The sequence below is a fragment of the Homo sapiens genome, chromosome 19 (assembly GCF_000001405.40).
Source record: "Homo sapiens chromosome 19, GRCh38.p14 Primary Assembly".
Lineage (NCBI taxonomy): Eukaryota > Metazoa > Chordata > Mammalia > Primates > Hominidae > Homo > Homo sapiens.
Genome location: NC_000019.10, coordinates 35327962 through 35347433, shown reverse-complemented (window position 1 = coordinate 35347433; position 19472 = coordinate 35327962). Strand labels below are relative to the sequence as shown.

General features: G+C 53.0%; 1 protein-coding gene and 1 non-coding gene across 6 annotated transcripts, besides 9 other annotated features; both read right to left on the bottom strand.

Moving 5' to 3' along the window:
• Positions 1 to 72: 72 nt before the first annotated feature.
• CD22 (CD22 molecule) lies at positions 73 to 18247 on the bottom strand. Of its 5 annotated transcripts, NM_001771.4 has the most exons (14): positions 18204 to 18247; positions 15360 to 15415; positions 14510 to 14887; positions 11093 to 11398; positions 9413 to 9679; positions 9003 to 9266; positions 6296 to 6553; positions 5828 to 6091; positions 5469 to 5732; positions 2509 to 2605; positions 2308 to 2383; positions 1714 to 1832; positions 1199 to 1283; positions 73 to 868 (listed from the first exon to the last, which is right to left on the bottom strand). In NM_001771.4, exons 2-14 carry the CDS (start codon positions 15391 to 15393, stop codon positions 737 to 739), a joined length of 2544 nt encoding a protein of 847 aa, NP_001762.2. In that variant the 5' UTR covers positions 15394 to 15415; positions 18204 to 18247; the 3' UTR covers positions 73 to 736. The 5 variants fall into 5 exon arrangements, with proteins under 5 accessions (NP_001762.2, NP_001172029.1, NP_001172028.1 ...); NM_001185100.2 differs by lacking the exon at positions 1714 to 1832; NM_001185099.2 differs by lacking the exon at positions 9003 to 9266.
• Positions 361 to 460: an enhancer, noted in NCBI's record as "active region_14474". NCBI's record gives its function as "activates an Ori minimal core promoter by ATAC-STARR-seq in GM12878 lymphoblastoid cells {active_cell/tissue: GM12878}" and the evidence as "EXISTENCE:reporter gene assay evidence [ECO:0000049][PMID:35858748]".
• Positions 791 to 1040: an enhancer, noted in NCBI's record as "active region_14473". NCBI's record gives its function as "activates an Ori minimal core promoter by ATAC-STARR-seq in GM12878 lymphoblastoid cells {active_cell/tissue: GM12878}" and the evidence as "EXISTENCE:reporter gene assay evidence [ECO:0000049][PMID:35858748]".
• MIR5196 (microRNA 5196) lies at positions 1807 to 1921 on the bottom strand. The gene has a single exon (NR_049828.1). It is a non-coding gene; the product is annotated as a microRNA 5196 (primary transcript).
• Positions 6265 to 6766: an enhancer, noted in NCBI's record as "H3K4me1 hESC enhancer chr19:35831571-35832072 (GRCh37/hg19 assembly coordinates)". NCBI's record gives its function as "activates a minimal SCP1, AML or CMV promoter by ChIP-STARR-seq in naive H9 embryonic stem cells {active_cell/tissue: H9 hESC(naive)}" and the evidence as "EXISTENCE:reporter gene assay evidence [ECO:0000049][PMID:30033119]".
• Positions 9832 to 9931: an enhancer, noted in NCBI's record as "active region_14472". NCBI's record gives its function as "activates an Ori minimal core promoter by ATAC-STARR-seq in GM12878 lymphoblastoid cells {active_cell/tissue: GM12878}" and the evidence as "EXISTENCE:reporter gene assay evidence [ECO:0000049][PMID:35858748]".
• Positions 9972 to 10121: an enhancer, noted in NCBI's record as "active region_14471". NCBI's record gives its function as "activates an Ori minimal core promoter by ATAC-STARR-seq in GM12878 lymphoblastoid cells {active_cell/tissue: GM12878}" and the evidence as "EXISTENCE:reporter gene assay evidence [ECO:0000049][PMID:35858748]".
• Positions 13920 to 14129: a silencer, noted in NCBI's record as "fragment chr19:35824208-35824417 (GRCh37/hg19 assembly coordinates)". NCBI's record gives its function as "represses an EF-1alpha promoter that drives an FKBP-Casp9 reporter gene in an ReSE screen in HepG2 liver carcinoma cells {active_cell/tissue: HepG2}" and the evidence as "EXISTENCE:reporter gene assay evidence [ECO:0000049][PMID:32094911]".
• Positions 16321 to 16370: an enhancer, noted in NCBI's record as "active region_14470". NCBI's record gives its function as "activates an Ori minimal core promoter by ATAC-STARR-seq in GM12878 lymphoblastoid cells {active_cell/tissue: GM12878}" and the evidence as "EXISTENCE:reporter gene assay evidence [ECO:0000049][PMID:35858748]".
• Positions 17501 to 17550: an enhancer, noted in NCBI's record as "active region_14469". NCBI's record gives its function as "activates an Ori minimal core promoter by ATAC-STARR-seq in GM12878 lymphoblastoid cells {active_cell/tissue: GM12878}" and the evidence as "EXISTENCE:reporter gene assay evidence [ECO:0000049][PMID:35858748]".
• Positions 17621 to 17670: an enhancer, noted in NCBI's record as "active region_14468". NCBI's record gives its function as "activates an Ori minimal core promoter by ATAC-STARR-seq in GM12878 lymphoblastoid cells {active_cell/tissue: GM12878}" and the evidence as "EXISTENCE:reporter gene assay evidence [ECO:0000049][PMID:35858748]".
• Positions 18248 to 19472: the final 1225 nt, after the last annotated feature.

The window sequence follows — 19472 nt, the reverse complement described above, 5'->3', positions numbered from 1 at the left end:
CCCAGGCCCCATGAAGACTTTCCCCTCTCCTCATCCCCACTCTGACTCCACAGACTGAAAAGAGTTCACTGGTTCTTTGAAGTGGCATCTGAGCCATTTTTATTGTGAGCTCTGTCTCCCTGGCAGGTTAATCCACACCAGTGTGTCCATCTCAAACCCGGAGTCCCCAGAGTCAAGGGGCCGCTGATACGTACGTCTCCCCGTGCAATGCCTCACTTCCAAAGGAGAAGCCAGGCCAGGACTGGGCCCCTTTCTACTTCGTTTCTGTCCTTTTCTGGGCTTTCCCTCAGAGGCAGAAACTGGGCATAATATTCGTGAGTGGGGATGTCAGATCAGGGGTAGAGGGCCAGAGAGATGGAGAAGGGAAGGAAAAATGATGACGAGCAGATCCCAGGAGGGACACAAGCAGCTGGGGGTGGAGATGGCCAGTGGCCGTGGTGGGGGCAGGGGGAGGTGTGCATGTCAGGGCAGGTATTTAGATGGATTTCTGGGTAGCAAGGAGAGTGGAAGAGAACAGGGGCAGGAGTTTTGGAGGTTTGGGGTTACCCTCACCAAAAAGACTGGCTCTGAGCCAGGCACAAGGTTCTCCGCAGTGAGTGTGTGTGTGTGTGTGTGCGTGTGTGTGTGTGTGTGCGCACATGCGCGCAGGAGGAAGCCATGTGGCGGTGTCTGGGGAAACTCGGGGACTTCCCTGGCCCCCGCTGCCCCCAGTGCCTCTGCTGCAGCCCATCCAGTGTCAATGTTTGAGGATCACATAGTCCACATTTTCTTGTGCCTGAGGCCGCTCCCCGACCCCAAACTGGATCAGCTCTGAGTAATGAATCCCCTCATCTTCTGGAAAATCTGGAATGACGTTCTCATAGTCGCCCTGAGAAAACCGCATGGTGGTTAGCCTGGCCCCACTGTCGCCAGCCTCCACCGCCGCTTTTCTCCGCATTCTCTCCTTCATTCCACCCGGGGGTCCAAAAGCCCAGGCGGGTGTCCTCGTGTCAGGAAACTGGCTGTGGCCGGCATCCAGGACCTGGAGGTACCTGCCTGGCTCTGGCCAGCTCTGCCGGAGCAACCGTCTCCAACACCCAACCTCTGCCACCACGGATGCCTACCCAACTCCTTCCTATGTGGGACCCACCACTGAGGCCAGGCCCTGTCCCCAGCCTTCCACAGCCCCTCTGGGGAGACCTGGGGAGACCCTCCTTACCACTTGGCGCTTGTGCAATGCTGAATAAGTGACCGTGTCATCGCAGTCCGGGGGAGGTCTCTGCATCTCTGAGGACTCTGCATCTCTGAGAGACAGGGCAGATAGACGACCACGCATGAAGCATCTCCCACGAACTCTCCTCCCTCTCAACACCCAGAGCCCCCAACAGCACCCCAACCTCAGCCCCTTATGTAAAACCTGTGGCCTCCCCAGTGCCCAAAGCTCACAGTAGGAGCTCGTGCAAATGTGCGTGGAGGGAGTAGGCGTGGGTGTGTATCATGAGGTCTTGATCTTTGTGATAAGAACGGACTGGGCATGTGTGCTGCTGACTTGAAGGAGCAGGTCCACTTCTGGAGACTGGCCCTTACCCAGAGGCTTGTTGCCGAGTGGGAATGAGGCAGAGCATGTATCAGGGTGCCTGGCATGGGCCTGGCACAAAGAGGGCAGGCGGGACAGAGCTTTTCCTCCCGCCTCCCTCCCAGGGTGCAGGGTCACCCTCCTGGTACCCTCAGTACCCAGTTCGTGGTATGTTCATCTCGGGAAAGCGCAGGGTGGTGTAGCTAATGCCATCTTCCATCATTGGATTGTAGCATCCCAGGGAGTGGGGGCCTTCAGAGAGGGGGGCCCTTCTAACCTGGGAGGGAGACGAGGATGAAGTGCTAACCACCTGTTCCCCAACCCTCGTCCCCTTCCCTGGCCTCTGACAGCCCAGGTCTCCTCAGAGGACATTTTATCCCCTTCCTTCACCTTGTTTCCCCACTCAGCTTCACAGTCTGCCTCATGCCTACCCTTTTTTTTTTTTTTTTTTTTTTTTTGAGGCAGAGTCTCAGTATGTCACCCAGGCTGGAGTGCAATGGCGCAATCTTGGCTCACTGCAACCTCTGCCTCCCAGGTTCAAGCGATTCTCCTGCCTCAGCCTCCCGAGTAGCTGGAATTACAGGCATGGACCATCACGCCCGGCTAATTTTTAAAATATTTTTTGTAGAGACAGGGTTTCACCATGTTGGCTACGCTGGTCTCGAACTCCTGACCTCAGGTGATCCACCTGCCTCAGCCTCCCAAAGTGCTGGGATTACAGGCATGAGCCATCGTGCCCAGCCCCATCCTACCTTTTTATTCCTCACAAAGAAGCTCTGGCCGCTGGAATTCTCCTGAAGCCCCTGCTGGCTCTGTGTCCTCTTCCAACTGAGAAATAAAGGCACATGTGTGAGGGTCAGGGACTCCACAGGCTGGAGGCTTCGAGATGGAGCAACTGGACACGGGCCTCTGCCAAGGGATAGAGGAGGTGGTGGGGGATGGCAGGAGCTCACCGTCGCTGGAGCTTGAGCCCACAGATTGCCAGGATGAGGATGGCGAGGCAGGACCCGAGTCCCACAGCCACTCGCCTGCCGATGGTCTCCGGGCTATCTGGGTGGAGAAAGGAGAGACCTTAATCAACTGAGGGGCCAGCTCTCCCTGGCAGCCTTTGCCTGGAAGGCATCCTGGACTTCTCTCTGCAGCCAGACTCGTCCTTCTCCCCTGCATGCGTGCAGGGGTGCAGAGGAAGAGGGTGACAACGGCCCCTGCTTGCTCTGGGCCTCCCTTTAGGAATAAGGCACTAATTCTCCTGAGGAGCTGCTTTTCCCACAGACGTGGCACGCCCAGAGCCTGTGACCCGCACCCGCATAAATGGGTGCAGCTCTTCACGGCAGTATAGCTGTGTGATCAGCTCTGAAAGTGCACCTGTCTTCCACCCAGCAATTCCACATGGGAATGCATCTTGCAACTGTCCTTGCAGGCGTGCCCAAAACAAGAGGCTGCAGACCTAGGCCCTGAAGAGGGCACTGGGAGGAGGATGTATGCAACCTTCATACGCGAGGACTCCATGGCCCCAGGAAAAAGAGGAGGCTCTCAGGCTGTCTGCAAAGGGGATACCCAGGGAACAATGGTTTTATATGATGGGATGTGTCTGTTACATTTCCAGATAACATGTTTCAGATGTTTTCCTTTGGCCTTCGGCCGTGCTGGTGATGGTTCCCTAGATTGACTGATTGATTGATTGAGACAGAGTCTCGCTCTTTCACCCAGGCTGGAGTGCAGTGGTGAGATCTTGGCTCACTGCAACCTCTGCCTCCCGGGTTCAAGCGATTCTCCTGCCTCAGCCTCCCGAGTAGTTGGGACTACAGGTGCGCGCCACCACACCCAGCTAATTTTTGTATTTTTAGTAGAGATGGGGTTTCACCATTGGCCAGGCTGGTCTGGAACTCCTGGCCTCAAGTGATCCACCCACCTTGTGGCCTCCCAAAGTGCTTGTGGCCACCCACTTTGGCCTCCCAAAGTGCTGGGATTACAGGCGTGAGCCACTGTGCCTGGTCAGGTTCCCTCAATTTAAGGCCATGTTTCCAATTATTAATCTGAAAAAGTACAATAAATTAATTAGGTATCTTCCATATGCTTTCAGACTCTTTTTTGTTGTTGTTATTGTTTTGTTTGTTCGTTTTTAAAATTTTTTTTGGTATTTTTTGTAGAGATGAGATCCTGCTATGAGGTGTGGGCTATGTTGCCCAGGCTGGTCTCAAACTCCTGGGCTCAAGTGATCCTCCCACCATGGCCTCTCAAAGTGTTGGGATTACAGGCATGAACCACCATGCCCAGCCTCCAGACTTTAGACACTCTGTGTATGCATAGATACAGAACAATGTCCAAACAGTATTATTACATGGAAAAAAGCAAAGAAAATTCCCAGGCAAAGTGTGGGCTCTGCCTCGTCTGTGTCATGAGGAAGGGTATATAGGCACAGACCTCTGTGTGTGAATTGTGCGTGTGAAAAATACCCCTGGAGGAGATGGGAAGACTGTGTGCAGTGAGATGGGAAGACTGTGTGCAGTGAGGACCTTTGGTGGGGATGAGAGTTCTCAGGGATCAAGAGTGAGCCGCGTCTGTCTTTCCACTATTTACCCTTTCATGCTTACATTTTATTTTTTTACCAGGTGCTTGTATGATCTGTTTAAAAACCACTCAAGTTTACTACTGTGGAGGCCGAGGCAGGAGTATCACTTGAGCCTAGGGGGTCGAGGCTGCAGGAGCTGAGATTGTGCCACTGCACTCCAACCTGTGCAACAGGGTGAGACCCTGTCTCAAAAAAAAAAAAAAAAAATCAGCCGGGTGCGGTGGCTCACGCCTGTAATCCCAGCACTTTGGAAGGCCGAGGCGAGCGGATCACGAGGTCAGGAGACTGAGACCACGGTGAAACCACATCTCTACTAAAAATACAAAAAATTAGCCGGGCATGGTGGCAGGCGCCTGTAGTCCCAGCTACTCGGGGAGCTGAGGCAGGAGAATGGCGTGAACCCGGGAGGCAGAGCTTGCAGTGAGCCGTGATCACGCCACTGCACTCCAGCCTGGGTGACAGATCGAGACTCCGTTTAAAAAAAAAATCATTTACGTTTTAAAAGATAAAAACAAGGAGCCTGTCAGGGCTGAGAGAGACAGAGTAGTCAGAGAGAGAGAGACAGGGACCCAGTAGGAGCTCAGGACTTCTGGAAGGTGGAGCAGCCTGAGAGGGGACCCTAGAGGGAGGCAGGAGAGACTGCAGGGGAGGTAGAAAAAGAGAGACTGGTGACGCAGGACAAGACGACTCCTCCAGCACAGCGGCAGATGGCCTGGAGCAAGGGGTGTGAATGGGAAAGGGGACAGTGAGGTGGGGAAGAAGGGGCCAGCTGGTCTGGAAGGCTTTTCGGGAAGTCACTGGAGGAGACAGGGCCAGAGAGGAGCATGAGAGGAAACAGGGAGAGGCACAGTGGCTCATGGCTCTAATCCCAGGGCTTTGGGAAGCTGAGGCAGAAGGGTCACTTGAGGTCAGGAGTTTGAAACCAGCCTGGTCAACATAGTAAGACCCCATCTCTACAAAAATGTAAAAATTAGCCGGATGTGGTGGTGCATGTCTATAGTCCCAGCTACTCAGGAGGCTGAGGCGAAAGGATTGCTTGAGCCCAGGAATTGGAGGCTGCAGTGAGGTGTCATTATGCGACTGCACTCCAGCCTGGGTGACAGAGTAAGACCTTGTCTCTATAAGAAGAAGAAGAAGGAAGGAGAAGGAGAAGAAAGAGGAGGAGGAGAGGGAGAAAGCAGAAGAAGAAGAAGAAGGAGGAAGAGGAGGAGGAGGGGAAGAAGAGGAGGAGGAAAAGAAAGAGAGAAAGAAAGGAAGGAAGGAAGGAAGGAAGGAAGGAAGGAAGGAAGGAAGGAAGGACTGACCACCACCAAGAAGAACAAGAGCAGGAAGAGGCCTTACAGTAGACGGTGAGGGTGCTGAGAGGCGAACGGCCCTTGCCCACACTGTTGGTCCCCTGGCACCAGTAGGCACCCGAGTGCTGGACCTTCACCGGCTCCAATCTCAGCTTCTGGCTGTGGTAGGGGAGGCTTTGGTTATTCCAGTCAAACCAGGTGTAGTGGGAGACGGGAGGGTTGGCGTCGCTCTCACAGGTCAGGGTTGCACTCTTCCCCTCCATCACTTGGTCCCCCGGGCTCATGGACACACGCAGCCTCCTGGGTGCATCTGCATGGCGGGCAGGGGGAGGGGGTGCGAAGTCACTACCAGGCAGGCCACTGGTCCCTTCTCTGCTCCACTCCCAGCCTCCGGCCCTCACTCACACAGCACTTCAAGTGTCCAGGCCTTGGACGCTGTCTGTCCTATGGAGTTGTTCACCCAGCAGCTGTAACTCCCAGCATCTTCTGGGGAGATGGAGTCAAAATTCAGCTGGCTTTCTTTCCCCAGAAGCCTGCCATTTTTCTCCCAGAAGAACTGGACTTCTTTGGGGTGGCTGCTTGAGAAGTCACATTGGAGGCTGACCGAGTTTCCAGAGTGAATCTCGGAAAGGGGCTTGATTTTCCGGACCCTCACGTCTCGGGGGGCATCTGGAGGGCAAGGGTCCCAAGCTGACCTCTCCGCTCCCTGTCCCTTTTGCTGTCCCCAGGCCTCCCCTCCCCTTGGCCCTGACGCCAGGCTCCTGTCCCTCAATTCTGTTGAAGACACTGGCCCAGGCTCCGGCCTCGTTGCCTTCATCCCCTCATCCCAGCCGGGCCACCTCCCAGATCCCCCTGCCTAGCCCAGGGACTCACACTGGACATTCAGGGCGACAGGGGAGGCCCACGAGCACCAACTATTACAAGCTGCGCAGGCGATGGTTGTGTTGTCCCAGCCAACGTTTTGGATCTTCAGCACCCCAAGCGATGGCTCCTCCCAGGCGCCATGGGGTTTCCATTCATACCGGGTAACACTGGGGTTACTGGAATTGTAGTTACAGGAAAGGGTCACTGTGTCTCCTTCTCGAATCGGCATGGGGTTTTGAATCACTGTGGTCACCTTCTTGGGAGGATCTGGAAGAAAACCAGAGAGGTGAGTAAAGAAAAGCCAGCTGTCCACAGTACCCCTTCCCTCCTGCTTCCTCTTCTCCCGCTACCTGTCCCGGGCATCTGCACAGGTCCTAAATTAATCAAAGGGGGGCTTGTGCGTCCTTCCTGCATCTGTGTGAGAACAGAAACCCTGCCCTGGCTCTCTGGCCTGGCTGTGGTTTGGTGCAGGGGTTCAGGGCACAGCGCTGAAGCCAGACGGCTGCTGAGAGGCGCACGGGCATGGGCTGCAGGTCTCAGTTTACACGTCTGTCAAATGGGGTCCTGAGGCCGGGCATGGTGGCTCACGCTTGTAATTTCAGCACTTTGGGAGGCTGAGGTGGGCAGATCACCTGAGGTCAGGAGTTCGAGACCTGGCCAACACAGCAAAACCCTGTCTCTACTAAAAATTTTAAAAATTAGCTATGCATGCTGGTGCATGTCTGTAGTCCCAGCTACTCAGGTGGTCGAGGCAAGAGAATCGCTTGAACCCGGGAGGTGGAGGTTGCAGTGAGCCGAGATCAAGCCACTGCACTCCAGCCTGGGCAACAGAGGGAGACTCCATCTTAAAAACAAGAGGCAGTGCGGGGTGGGTGGGGGGTGAGTCCTGAGAGTTCCTAACCTCCTGGGAATTGTTTCAAGAAGGAAATGAGATGACTCCCTTAGAGCAGAGTGTGGCGTGTGGCAAACACTCCACAAACATCACTGTGGCTGCTGTGGTCACGCATCCAGCTGTCTGAGATGCTCAGGATTTGGGCACCCCTGTCCTGTTAGCACATATGACATCTCAGGGTCCAAGGATCGAGCTTATGTGTTCTTTTTGTCCTGTGCTCTACATGGTAACAAGATTCACTGTGTTAAAAGGGTCTTACAATGGAGAGGTAATGAGACAGTTTGCCCCAGTTCTCATTAAAAATTTCAAGATCTCTCAAGACTCAGCCACTGCCTAGGGACGCTAAGTCTCTGTGTCCCTCATGGAGTCCTGGTATCTTGCAGTTAATTATTCTTTTTTTTTGGAGACAGAATCTCACTCTACCCAGGCTAGAGTGCAGTGACATGATCTCAGCTCATTGCAACCTCTGCCTCCTGGGTTCAAGCGATTCTCCTGCCTCAGCCTCCCAGGTAGGTGGATTTCAGGTGCCTGCCACCATGCCCGGCTAATTTTTTGTATTTTTAGTAGAGACAGGGTTTCGCCATGTTGGCCAGGCTGGTCTCGAACTCCTGACCTCAGGTGATCTGCCCACCTTGGCCTCCCAAAGTGCTGGGATTACAGGCGTAAGCCACCATGCCTGGCCAATCCATTCTTTTTTTTGAGACAAGGTCTCACTCAGTCACCCAGGCTGGAGTGCAGCGGCATGATCACAGGCTCACTGCAGCCTCTACTTCCAGGCTCAGGTGATCCTCCCACCTCAGCCTCCTGGGTAGCTGAGACTACAGGCATGCATGACCATGCCAGGCTAATTTTTTTTTGTAGAGATGGGGTTTTACCATGTTGCCCAGGCTGGGCTTGAACTCGTGGCCTCAAGTGAGCTGCCTACCTTGGCCTCCCAAAGTGCTGGGATTACAAGTGTGAGCCACTGTGCCCAGCTCACACCTATAATCCCAGTCCCAGCATTTTCTTTTTCTTTTTGAGACCCAGGTCTTGCTCTGTCACCCAGGCTAGAGTGCAGTAGCAGGAACATAGTTCAGTCTGCAGCCTTCACTTCCTGGGCTCAAGTGATTCTCCCTCCTCAGCCTCCCCAGTAGCTGGGACCACAGGCACGCACCACCATGCTCAGCTAATTTTTGTATTTTTTTGTAGAGATGGTATCTCGCTGTGTGGCCCAGGCTGGTTTCAAACTCCTGGGTTCAAGAGACCCTCCTGCCTCAGCCTCCTAAAGAGCTGGGATTGCAGGCGGGAGCCACCGCACCTGGCCTCATTCATTCAACAAGCATCTACAGGCCGGGTGCGGTGGCTCACGCCTCTAATCCCAGCACTTTGGGAGGCCGAGGCGGGTGGATCACGAGGTCAGGAGATCGAGACCATCCTGGCTAACACGGTGAAACCCCGTCTCTACTAAAAGTACAAATAATTAGCCGGGCGTGGTGGCGGGCGCCTGTCATCCCAGCTACTCAGGAGGCTGAGACAGGAGAATGGCATGAACCCGGGAAGGTGGAGCTTGCAGTGAGCCGAGATTGTGCCACTGCACTCCAGCCTGGGAGACAGAGGGAGACTCCATCTCAAAAAAAACTAAAACACAAAAAAACAAGCATCTACCAAGCACCCTCCATGAGCCAGGCCCTATGCTAGGAGCTGAGACAGCAGTTGTGAACAGGAGACCCTGGCTGCTCCTTGCTCTTGACTCCAGGACCCCGGAATGCCCTGCACCCCATCTGCCTTCCCCGTTCCCTGTGTCCATCTTCTCTCCCTAGAACCAGAGGCTCCGTGGCTACTCACACTGGACATCCAGCTCAGCTCCCGGGCCCCTCTGTCCAGTACCAAGAATGTTTTCTGCCACACAGGAATAAGTCCCAGCGTGCCAGGGGAGGATCTTTGGGATGTGGACTTTCTCCTCTGTCCTTCCCTGCATTTCTTTCCCATTGTGGTACCACGTGTAATTTGTTGGAAGAGGATTGGCCAGTGACATGCAAAGAAACTCGACTTGACTTCCCTCCACAGCCGGTGAGTGGAGGATCTGAACCGTGGAAGGTTCCGGGGCATCTGGAAGAGGGGGCAGAGGCGAGTGGAGGGGTGAGGAGAGCACCCCCAACCTGTGCACACGGCCCCGAGAGCCCCCGTGGCTCCCCTCTCCGGGTCCACCCCTGCTACCTCCCTGCCTGGCCTGTCCCCAGCTCCGAGGGGCTCACACTGCACTTGCAGGAACACTTCTTCCGACCTTCCCGGGCCCACGTCATTGGAGACCTGACAGCAGTACTTCCCACTCTGGTCCTTGGTCACTTCGCGCAGGTTTAGCGTGAATGTATTCTGCTTCTTCAGCGAGGTCCCATCCTTGAGCCAGGATACCGTCGTGTACTCCGGGTTGCTGCTGCTGACCTCGCAGGTCATGGTCACAGAGTCCCCCTCCCTCACTATGGCATCACTGGGAGTGACCTTGATCTCCAACTTCGGGGTGTCTGGAGGAGCAGAGGGGCAGTCGGGGAGGGGGCGGGGAATCCTCAGAGGGTGGAGGGTGTGGAAAGTGCTTTTATTCTGACAAAGCCATGGCCTGCCAGTCCCTTCACCCAGGTGATGGTCACAGCCTCCTAACTCGGCTCTCAGCTTCCCCCTCCCACTTCCTCTACTTCTTGGTCTCCACCAGCAGCACGCAGGGTTCCTAACACCATCTACCAGACCTCGCCAATCCTGCTGGAAACCACGAGCGGGTTCTGTGCTTTGCATAGAATCCCAAACCCTCACCTCAGCCCTCGGGATCCAGAGTCCTGCTCCATCTCCTGCCTCCTGTCCTACCATGTGGCCCTCAGAGGCGGTGAACTTCAGCCTCTGAGGTCCTCCCACCCAGCTGCTGCCTCAAAGCTTTGAACCTGCCCTTCTCTTTCCCTGAAATCCTCCTCTCCCAAATATGTGCCGGCCTCAGCCACTCCCTCCGTTCCAGTCAGCTTAAGTGCTCACCTTCTTTTTTTTTCTTTTTTTGAGATGGAGTCTCACTCGTCACCCAGGTTGGAGTGCAGTGGTGCGATCTCAGCTCACTGCAAGCTCCGCCTCCTGGGTTCATGTCATTCTCCTGCCTTGGCCTCCCAAGTAGCTGGGACTACAGGCGCCTGCCATCATGCCTGGCTAATTTTTTGTATTTTTACTAGAGATGGGGTTTCACCATGTTAGCCAGGATGGTCTCGATCTCCTGACCTTGTGATCCCCCCGCCTCGGCCTTCCAAAGTGCTAGGATTACAGGCGTGAGCCACCGCACCCGGCCTAAGTGCTCACCTTCTTAGAGAGGTCTCTCTCCATCACTCCCCTCTCTCGGCCTTATTTTTTTCCTAACACACATATCACTACCTACAATAGTGTTGTATATTTCTTTGTTAACATTGCTTTGTTCCAGATTCTAATGTCTTGGCTCATGCTCTGTATTTCTTTGGTAATCCATTTGTTGTCTGTCTCTTTCACTGCAGCGCTGGCTCCGCGTGGGGCAAGAGTTTTGCTCACTGCTGCACCCTGCCCACCGCCCCATGCCCCCCATTGGCAGCCGTAATAAGGCCTGGTACCTAGTAGGTTCATGATACGTATTTATTGAATGAATGAGGCACAAGATAATGATGCGAAAAAAATCCCCACCAAGAGGGGAACAAAAAGACCTAACCAGATAATCCCCAATTCATGTCATGGCTTGAGGATGGACCATTTTATTCTGTTAGGCTAGAGCAAATCTTTTTCCCGAAACACCAGGGCTGACAAGGCGGCGTGACCAGGGCTGGAGGATGCCGCCGTCTGTGCAGGCTTCCCCCTGCCCTGGGTGCATGCCCCCTGCGGGGCTGGGGAGAAGGTGACACAGACCTTGCCCTTCCCACAGGCATGCCGGGGAGACTCACGCTTCACGTTCAGCTGCACCGTGTCATTGGAGAGGAACTTCCCATCTGCATCCTGAAGCTGGCAGGTCACAATCTTCCCATGGTGACTCCACTGTGGGGAGAACTTGAGCTCGCTCCGGGTGAAGACAGACTTGATGGTCAAGGAGGTCGAGGTGACAGCAGCCTGCCTCATTGGAACCCCCTCTAGGAGCCACTGCAATTGGATCGGATACCCATAGCAGGAGAAATTCAGCAAGCAGGTCAGAGTGACTTCCTGGGACTCTTGAATTTCTGGAGGGAGCTGGATATGAGGTGGAAAAGGCCTTTCTGCAAAAGAACAGAGCCCGTGCAGGAGCCTGGGGGACTGAGGACGTGAGCGTACACCTGGCTTTAGATGTCCTGTCCCAAATCACCCCTCAGGAACCCCTTGCCACTTCATTCCACCTCTCTCCAGTCCTGCTTTGTTTTTTTGTTGTTATTGTTGTTGTTGTTGTGTTGTTGTTTTTTTGAGATGGAGTTTCCCTCTGTCACCCAGGCTGGAGTGCAGTGGCGCGATCTTGGCTCGCTGTAACCTCTACCTCCCCAGTTCAAGTGATCCTCCTGCCTCAGCCTCCCGAGTAGCTGGGATTACAGGTGCCCACCACCACACCCAGCTAATTTTTCTGTATTTCTAGTAGAGACAGGGTTTCGCCATGTTGGCCAGGCTGGTCTTGAACTCCTGACCTCAAGTGATCCTCCCGCCTTGGCCTCCCAAAGTGCTGGGATTACAGGTGTAAGCCACCACACCCGGCCTCTTTTTTTCTTTAGAGACAGGGTCTTGCTTTGTCACCCAGGCTGGAGTGCAGTGGCGCAATCCTAGCTCACTGTAGCCTCAACCTCCTAGGCTCAAGCAATCCTCTCACCTCAGCCCCCTGAGTAACTGGGACTACAGGCATGTGCCACCACACCTAGCTAGTTTTTTAAACATTTTGTAGAGACAGGGTCTTGCCATGTTACCCAGGCTGGTCTCAAACTCCTGGGCTCAAACGATCCTCCGATCTCAGCCTCCCAAAGTGCTGGGGTTACAGGCGGGAACCACTGCACCCAACGCAGTCCTGCTTTTCTCCACTTTGAATCACTTTTGCTCACCCGAAATCCCCTCTGAAAGGCCTTGACCACACTAAGCCTCCTTGGGAACTGTGATCTACTTTTCTTTCATGCTCATTGCCGGATGTCTGCTTTCTGAATGATTGCAAAGTTCTATTCCCACCACCTCACCACCTCTTTTTTTTTTTTTTTTTTTTTTGAGACAGAGTCTCGCTCTGTCGCCCGGACTGGAGTGTAGTGGCGTGATCTCAGCTCACTGCAAGCTCCACCTTCCGGGTTCACGCCATTCTCCTGCCTCAGCCTCCTGAGTAGCTGGGACTACAGGCGCCTGCCACCACGCCTGGCTAACTTTTTGCATTTTTAGTAGAGACAGGGTTTCACTGTGTTAGTCAGGATGGTCTCGATCTCCTGACCTTGTGATCCGCCTGCCTCGGCCTCCCAAAGTTCTGGGATTACAGGCGTGAGCCACCGTGCCCGGCCTATTCCCACCACCTCTAAGTGAATTTTATCAGTTTAGTTCACGGACTTTTCAGCTTTGACAAACTTGTGTTACTTTCATGGCTTCCTTCAGTATTGCAGCCATCCACGCACCGCATTCCTTTAGTGGAGTGGGTCTGTGTGCACCCAGCCTCAGCTCTCCCCAAGGCTGGACCACCTCCTTCAGACAGCGGGGTCTGAAGTTGCATTGCTCACCCCAAATTTAAGGCTGCTCAGAACTGCCCATCCGGGAAACGGTGTGGAACGGAGTGACCACACTCCCTGTGGCAGGGGCCCCCCACACCTGTGTTTGATGGGTCAAAGCCACCCCTACATGTGCAGTGCTATAACTGAACCTATGTTATAAAAATTATAAGATGTTCGTTTTACTTCTTTTCTTTTCTCTTTGTCCTTTCCTTCCTCCATGCATGATTAGTTACATTTGGTCATTTCAGTAGCAGGTAACCATTAATTCACTCATAATTGTTTAACTTACATCCTGACTCCCTGGCAGCTGCCTGCAAGATAAATGAACTTGTCTCTCTTTCAAAGAACAATGATCCTTAGGTCACACAGACCTCCTTGATGACATCCAGAAATTTGATGAGCCGAGGGGCACAACAGCTTTGACGATCGGGAGGTCACCTCCTGCACACCTACTTTACTCATAAAAGCCCCCACTAACGCTCAAAGTCAGGTCAGATTTGAGAGTTTCTCTCTTCTGTCCCCTTGCTTTGGCTAAATTAAATAATCCTATCTCAGCTTCTAAGCACTGAGGTGTCAGTGTTTGGCTGACTACGCATCGGGAGCTCAAACCTGGCCTTTGGGGTTCAACAACAGTGTCATCTGACCTTGAAGAGCTCATGAGAACTTGCCATGAACATTAACATGCTGGGAGATTTCACTGGAAAATCTAGATTTCCATCGTCTCTTGAAAAATCAGAAGATCAGGCCGGGTGCGGTGACTCATGCCTGTAATCCTAATGCTTTGAGAGGTTGAAGCAGGAGGATTGCTTGAGGCCAGGAGTTCAAGACCAGCCTGGCAACATAGCAAGACCCATTTCTACAACAAATTAAAAAGTTAGCTGGGCATGGTGGCATGCACCTGTGATCCTAGCTACTTTGGAGGTGGGAGGATTGCTTGAACCCGGGAGATCAAGGCTGCAGTGAGCTGAGATCGCGCCACTGCACTCCAGCCTGGGTGATGACAGTGCGAGACCCTGTCTCATAAAAAGGGAAAGGAAGGGGAAGGGGAAAAGAAGAGGAAAAAAAGTAAAACAAACATTTTATGATTTTTATAACACAGGCTCAGTTATGGCACTGCACATGTAGGGGTGGATTTGACCCATCAAACACAGGTCTGGGGCCTCTGCCCTAGGGAGTGTGGTTACTCCGTTCCACACCCAGTTTCCTCTATAGGGAGCTCTGAGCAGCCCTAAGTTTGGGGTGAGCGATGCAGCTTCAGACCCCAATGTCTGAAGGGGGCGGTCCAGCCTGGGGGAGAGCTGAGGCTGGTTACATGCAGACCCACCCCACTAAAGGAATGCGGTGCTTGGATGGTTCCAGTACTAAGGCCAAACACGAGTTTGTCACAAAAGCTGAAAAATACATGGTGAGAAAGAAAGAGGGAAAGATCAGGAGATCCGATAACTTTGGAATCCAGGTCCCAGAGGGGCAGGAACTGAGGGTCAGATGGGACATCCGAGGTCCCGCAGCTCTGTCTAGTGCTGCTGCATCGCCATCGTCATCCGCTGGCGTCCCCTGCCTGAGCTCTGCAGGAAGCTCGGTTTGTGAGCTCTGTGCCAGGAGTCAGGTATTTCCTGCCTCCCACTCACCCCTGCCCAGAGCAGAGGACCCGCTCCCCGAAGGCCTTACCAGAGACATTGAGGTGTATTCGTTCCATCCATTTCTCAGTCTTGGACTCCATCCTCAGCCCCAGCTGACCACTGTCATTGAGGTGCACCGGGTGGATACTCAGTGTGCAGTTCTTATTCTTGTCTCCCAGGAATTGCACCCTTTTCTGCTCAGAAGGAACCTTCCCATCCTTTGTGCTTTCATAGAGTCTTGTCCCATCAAACTTCGAGGTGTTCTTGTTATACTCAGGATTGTGGAACAGGATGAAGCTTTCCAGGTCACCATCTAGGGCTCTGTAGGTGCAGGGGATCCAGACGCAGGCCCCCTCCCAGGCGTAGAGGGTTTCAGGGTGCTCAAAAACCCATTTACTTGAGTCAGAGAAAGCCAAGTATTCTAGAACTCACCACAGTGATCAGAAAGCATTACTAAGGGGGCATGAGAGCCTTCTTTTAAAAGTTATTTTTTATTTTAAAATTTGTTTAATTTTTTATTCTTTTTAGAGATAGGGGTCTTGCTATGTTGTCCAAGCTGGCCTTGAACTCCTGACCTCAAGTGATCCTCCCACCTCAGCCTCACAAAGTGCTGAGATTTCAGGCATGAGCCACTGCACCCAGCAGAGAGCTTTCTAAAGACTAAAGAATTCCCTCTGAAGATAGTGGGAGAAATACAGAGATACACAAAGACAGCAGGATGCAATGAGAGAAGTGTATGTATATATGGGAAACATATATATTTGTATGTACATTTATCTATACACACCGCTGCCCCCACCCTACCCTATGTTGACGCCTCTCTGCCTGGGTCTTTCCTCCTCCTCCAGTGCCCACTGACATCCCAGAACCCCAGTACTAGCCCAGGCCACAGTCCTTACCCAGGAGCAGGAGCCAGGGGCCGAGGAGATGCATGGTGTCGTGTCTGGGTGCAAGCCTGAGCAGGGGAGAGTTTGTCTTTGAGCCATCTGGCCGCTTACTTCTTCCACGTGGCTTTTCTTGCTCACCCACTGAGCTCCGACCCTTCCCCTGGATCCGGGAGGACCGGGTCTGGTTGCATTATGGGGATGTGGCATTTGGGATGCTCACGGAGTTCTTTCTTTTTTTTTGAGACAGAGTCTTGCTCTGTCTCCCAGGCTAGAGTGCAGTGGTGTGATCTCCGCTCACTGCAACCTCTGCTTCCCAGGCTCAAGCGTTTCTCTGGCCTCAGCCCCCCAAGTAGCTGGGTAAAGGCAGGTGCCACCACGCCTGGCTGATTTTTGTATTTTCAGTAGAGATGGGGTTTCACCATGTTGGCCTGGCTGGTCTTGAACTCCTGATCTCAGGTGATCTGCCAGCCTTGGCCTCCCAAAGTGCTGGCACTACAGGTGTGAGCCACCACTCCTGGCCGGGAGTTTTTTCTGAGTGTGCTGCACCTCTCCTTCAAACTGAGAGCCCTGCGGGGGCAGCCTCTCTCTCTTCCCAGAACTCCTTCCTTTCTTCCTTCCTTCCTCCCTTGCTTGCTTTTTCCCATCCATCCATTCATCCATCTCTAATTTTATAAACTTCCTGCCTGGCTCACAGGCTTTGAGTGGCACCAGACCACTGAGTGCTTTGAATGCCAGGCCCCGGGTAACGTGGAGCTCTCTCTGGTGCTACTCATCAAGGATTATACTCAGGGACAGACATGGTCAAAACTTGGTTTGAAAGACCAGGTAAAAAGGAATTCTAAAACCAGTAACAAAGTATGGGTGAGCCAGGCGCAGTGGCTCACACCTGTAATCCCAATACTTTGGGATGCCAAGGCAGGCAGATCACTTGAGGTCAGGAGTTCAAGACCAGCCTGGCCAACATGGCAAAACCCCATCTTTACTCAAAATGCAAAAAATTAGCCAGGCGTGGTGGCGTACACCTGTAATCCCAGATACTCATGAGGCTGAGGCAGGAGAATTGCTTGAACCCGGGAAGTAGAAGTTGGAATGAGCCGAGATCATGCAACTGCACTCCAGCCTGGGCGACAGGGCAAGACCCTGTCTCAAAAAGATAAAAAATAAACTAAAAATGTACAGAGCTGGTCAAACAAAACCTATCTGTGGGTTAGGTTCTGCAACTGTTGCCCATCTTTCTTTCTTTCTCTGCAGTGAGCTTGTCCTCTACCATCCCTGACCTCTGCATAGAGTTATATTTACATAGAGTTAAATTTAAGTCCCAATTTACATGATCATGGCCCTCCGTGCTGGCCCCCGGGGACCCTGAAGGATGTGACAGCAGAGTGTGTCTCCGGTCTCAGCACCAACCCAAGCCCCTCCCACTCACCTGCCAACATTTCACACGCATCAATGTTCCTCTCTCTGTCTGTTTATCTCCTCGGGCCACATGGCTCATGCCAAAGGCTGCTGGGTATCTGTTCATGGGTGTGCGGAAAGCTAAGCTGCTTGCCGACAGCAGGAAGGGGGTCTGGCCTGGGCTAAGCATGAATTTGGGGTGCAGGGTCTGAAGCTGAGGCAGATTCCCCAGGCAGAGCTGACATCAGCCCCGCAGGTACTCATCATGTCACATGCAAAAAACATCTTCAAGGTCACATACACTTGAGAAAGGCAGGGTAAAAGAGTTAAGTAAGATTCTTTTTTTTTCTTTTGAGACAGAGTCTCATTCTTCTGTCGCCCAGGCTGAAGTGCAGTGGTGTGATCTCAGTTCACTGCATCCTCTGCCTCCAGGGTTCAAGTGATTCTCCTGCCTCAGCCTCCTGAGTAGCTGGGACTATAGGCATGTGCCACCACACCCGTCTGATTTGTTTGTTTGTTTGTTTGTTTTAGTAGAGATGGGGTTTCACCATGTTGGCCAGGCTGGTTTCAAACTCCTGACCTCAGGTGATCCCCCCAACTTGGCCTCCCAAAGTGCTGAGATGACAGGCGTGAGCCACCGCACCTGGCTTAAGTAAGATTCTTTACTGCAGGACTTTAAAAACCTTTCAGTAAACTCTATCTACACCATTAATCTCTAGACATGGGGATTAGAGTATAGTATAATACATTGTCCATACTTCTTTGGCCATGGGATCTATTTTACATGTTCCATAAAAAACTTAGCAGGGTTGCAGAGCCAGAGTTCTTTGAAATCCCCTTAAGGTTACCTAAGGGGTAACAAGGGCTGTGGCAAGGACTAGACTCCGTTCCCTGCAGCCAACACTTGCCTCCAGGAGCCGGGCCATTGTCCCTCCTCTGCCAGCACCCTCCAGCCACAACCTGCTCTGGGACGGGCTGGAGCATCCCAGCATGAGTGGGAGATGGGCGCCTCCAGAGCAGGACTGTGTGCTGCCTCAAGGAGCTCCAGGAGTCTCTGGAGCACAGGAGTAGGGCCCCAGGCCCGGGAATTGGAAGGCTGAGGGTGGGGTGGAGGTTAGGGACAGCAGTTATTATGCACAGAGGCTCAGGACAGGGCCATGCTGTCCAGACCTCCTCAGTCCAGGCCTGTTGAGGGCCTTGCAGAACCTTGGGGCTGACCTCCCTGGCTCCTTCTTCCCTCCTGGGCATCCAATAACCTACCCTACTCTCAGAAGACTCAGCAGGCCTGGCAAGGAGGATGCTCAAGACAGGGGTCTGTCTACAACCTGTTGTAACACCGGTAAGAGAGAGCCAGGGAGGTCCCCACTGTGTTCCCAGCTCTGGGAGGTATGCCTGGCCCATAACTGCTGTTCCGTAATAACTTGCTTGTTGAATGCAAAATAAAAGCAAAATGATTTTTACCTGTTTCCGCGTGTCTTCCCTCTTCAGGGACCCTGGCAGCATCTGAGAGCAAAAGGAGAAGTACAGTAAAGTCTCTGGTGACAGAGGTTTCCCCTCCATGGCCACACCCCCTGCTTCTCTATGGCTCTGAGGGGGACCAAGCAGCACCGTGATCTGGGGAGTGGGGAAAAGAGACGATTGAGGGGGATGCGGGCTCGGAGTCAGATTGGAAGACTCGAATACGTATGGGCAGTTCTTCCTTTCCGTGTATGGGTTTGCAATATCAGATCAGTTTCAGAATGGGCTCCTCCACAACTCCCCCTCTACCCAGCTCTCAGGAAATGCGAATGACTCAAGCCAAGCAGGAGAACTGCAGCCCGCTGAAAAAGGCACAGGCCTACCTGAAAGTATTTGTAGTTTAGTGACACCATCCAGTTATTACCATTTCCACTCTTTTCATCATAGGCATAAATGGTGGGGAATCTGACCACCTACACTGAAGCCCCCAAGGGTTGAGGGAGGAGCACATAGATATTGAGGAGGAAAAAGATATCTCGGCCGGGTGCGGTGGCTCATGCCTGGAATCCCAACACTTTGGGAGGCTGAGGCGGGTGGATCACTTGAGGTCAGGAATTCGAGACCAGCCTGGCGAACATGGTGAAATTCCGTCTCTACTAAAAATACAAAAAATTAGCTAAGTGTTTTGGCAGGCGCCTGTAGTCCCAGCTACTCAGGGGGCTGAGGCAGGAGAATCACTTGAGCCCAGGAGGCGGAGGCTGCAGTGAGAAGAGATCACACCACTGCAGTCCAGCCTGGGTGACAGAGTGAGACTCTGTCTCAAAAAAAAAAAAAGAAAGAAAGAAAGAAAGAAAGAAAAAGAAAAGATATCTTGTAGGACTGGGCATGGTGGCTCATGCCTGTAATCCTAGCGCTTTGGGTGGCCAAGGCGGGTGGATTGCCTGAGCTCAGGAGTTCAAGACCAGCTTGGGCAACATGGTAAAACCCCATCTCTACTAAAAAAAAAAAAAAAAAAAATCCAAAAATTAGCTGGGTGTGGTGGCGGGCGCCTGTGGTCCCAGCTACTCAGGAGGCTAAGGCAGGAGAATCACTTAAGCCCGAGAGGCTGAGGTTGCAGTGAGCAGATCGCGCTGTGGCACTCCAGCCTGGGTGACAGAGCCAGATCCTGTCTCAAAAAAACAAAAAAGATATCTTGTAGGAAGTGTTATTGAATGGAGAGTCTTTAGGCTGAAACCTCATCACCTTTATAATCCTGTAGCCAGCGAGTGTCTC

Coding starts and splice junctions, on each gene's coding strand:
- CD22 (NM_001771.4), bottom strand. CDS start 15,393: ATGCATCTCCTCGGCCCCTGGCTCCTGCTCCTGG. Junction 6,554..9,002: donor AGCTGAGCTGGATGTCCAGT/GTGAGTAGCCAC, acceptor GTTTTCTTCCAG/ATCCTCCCAAGAAGGTGACC. Junction 1,833..2,307: donor TCTTTGTGAGGAATAAAAAG/GTAGGATGGGGC, acceptor TCTCCCTCCCAG/GTTAGAAGGGCCCCCCTCTC.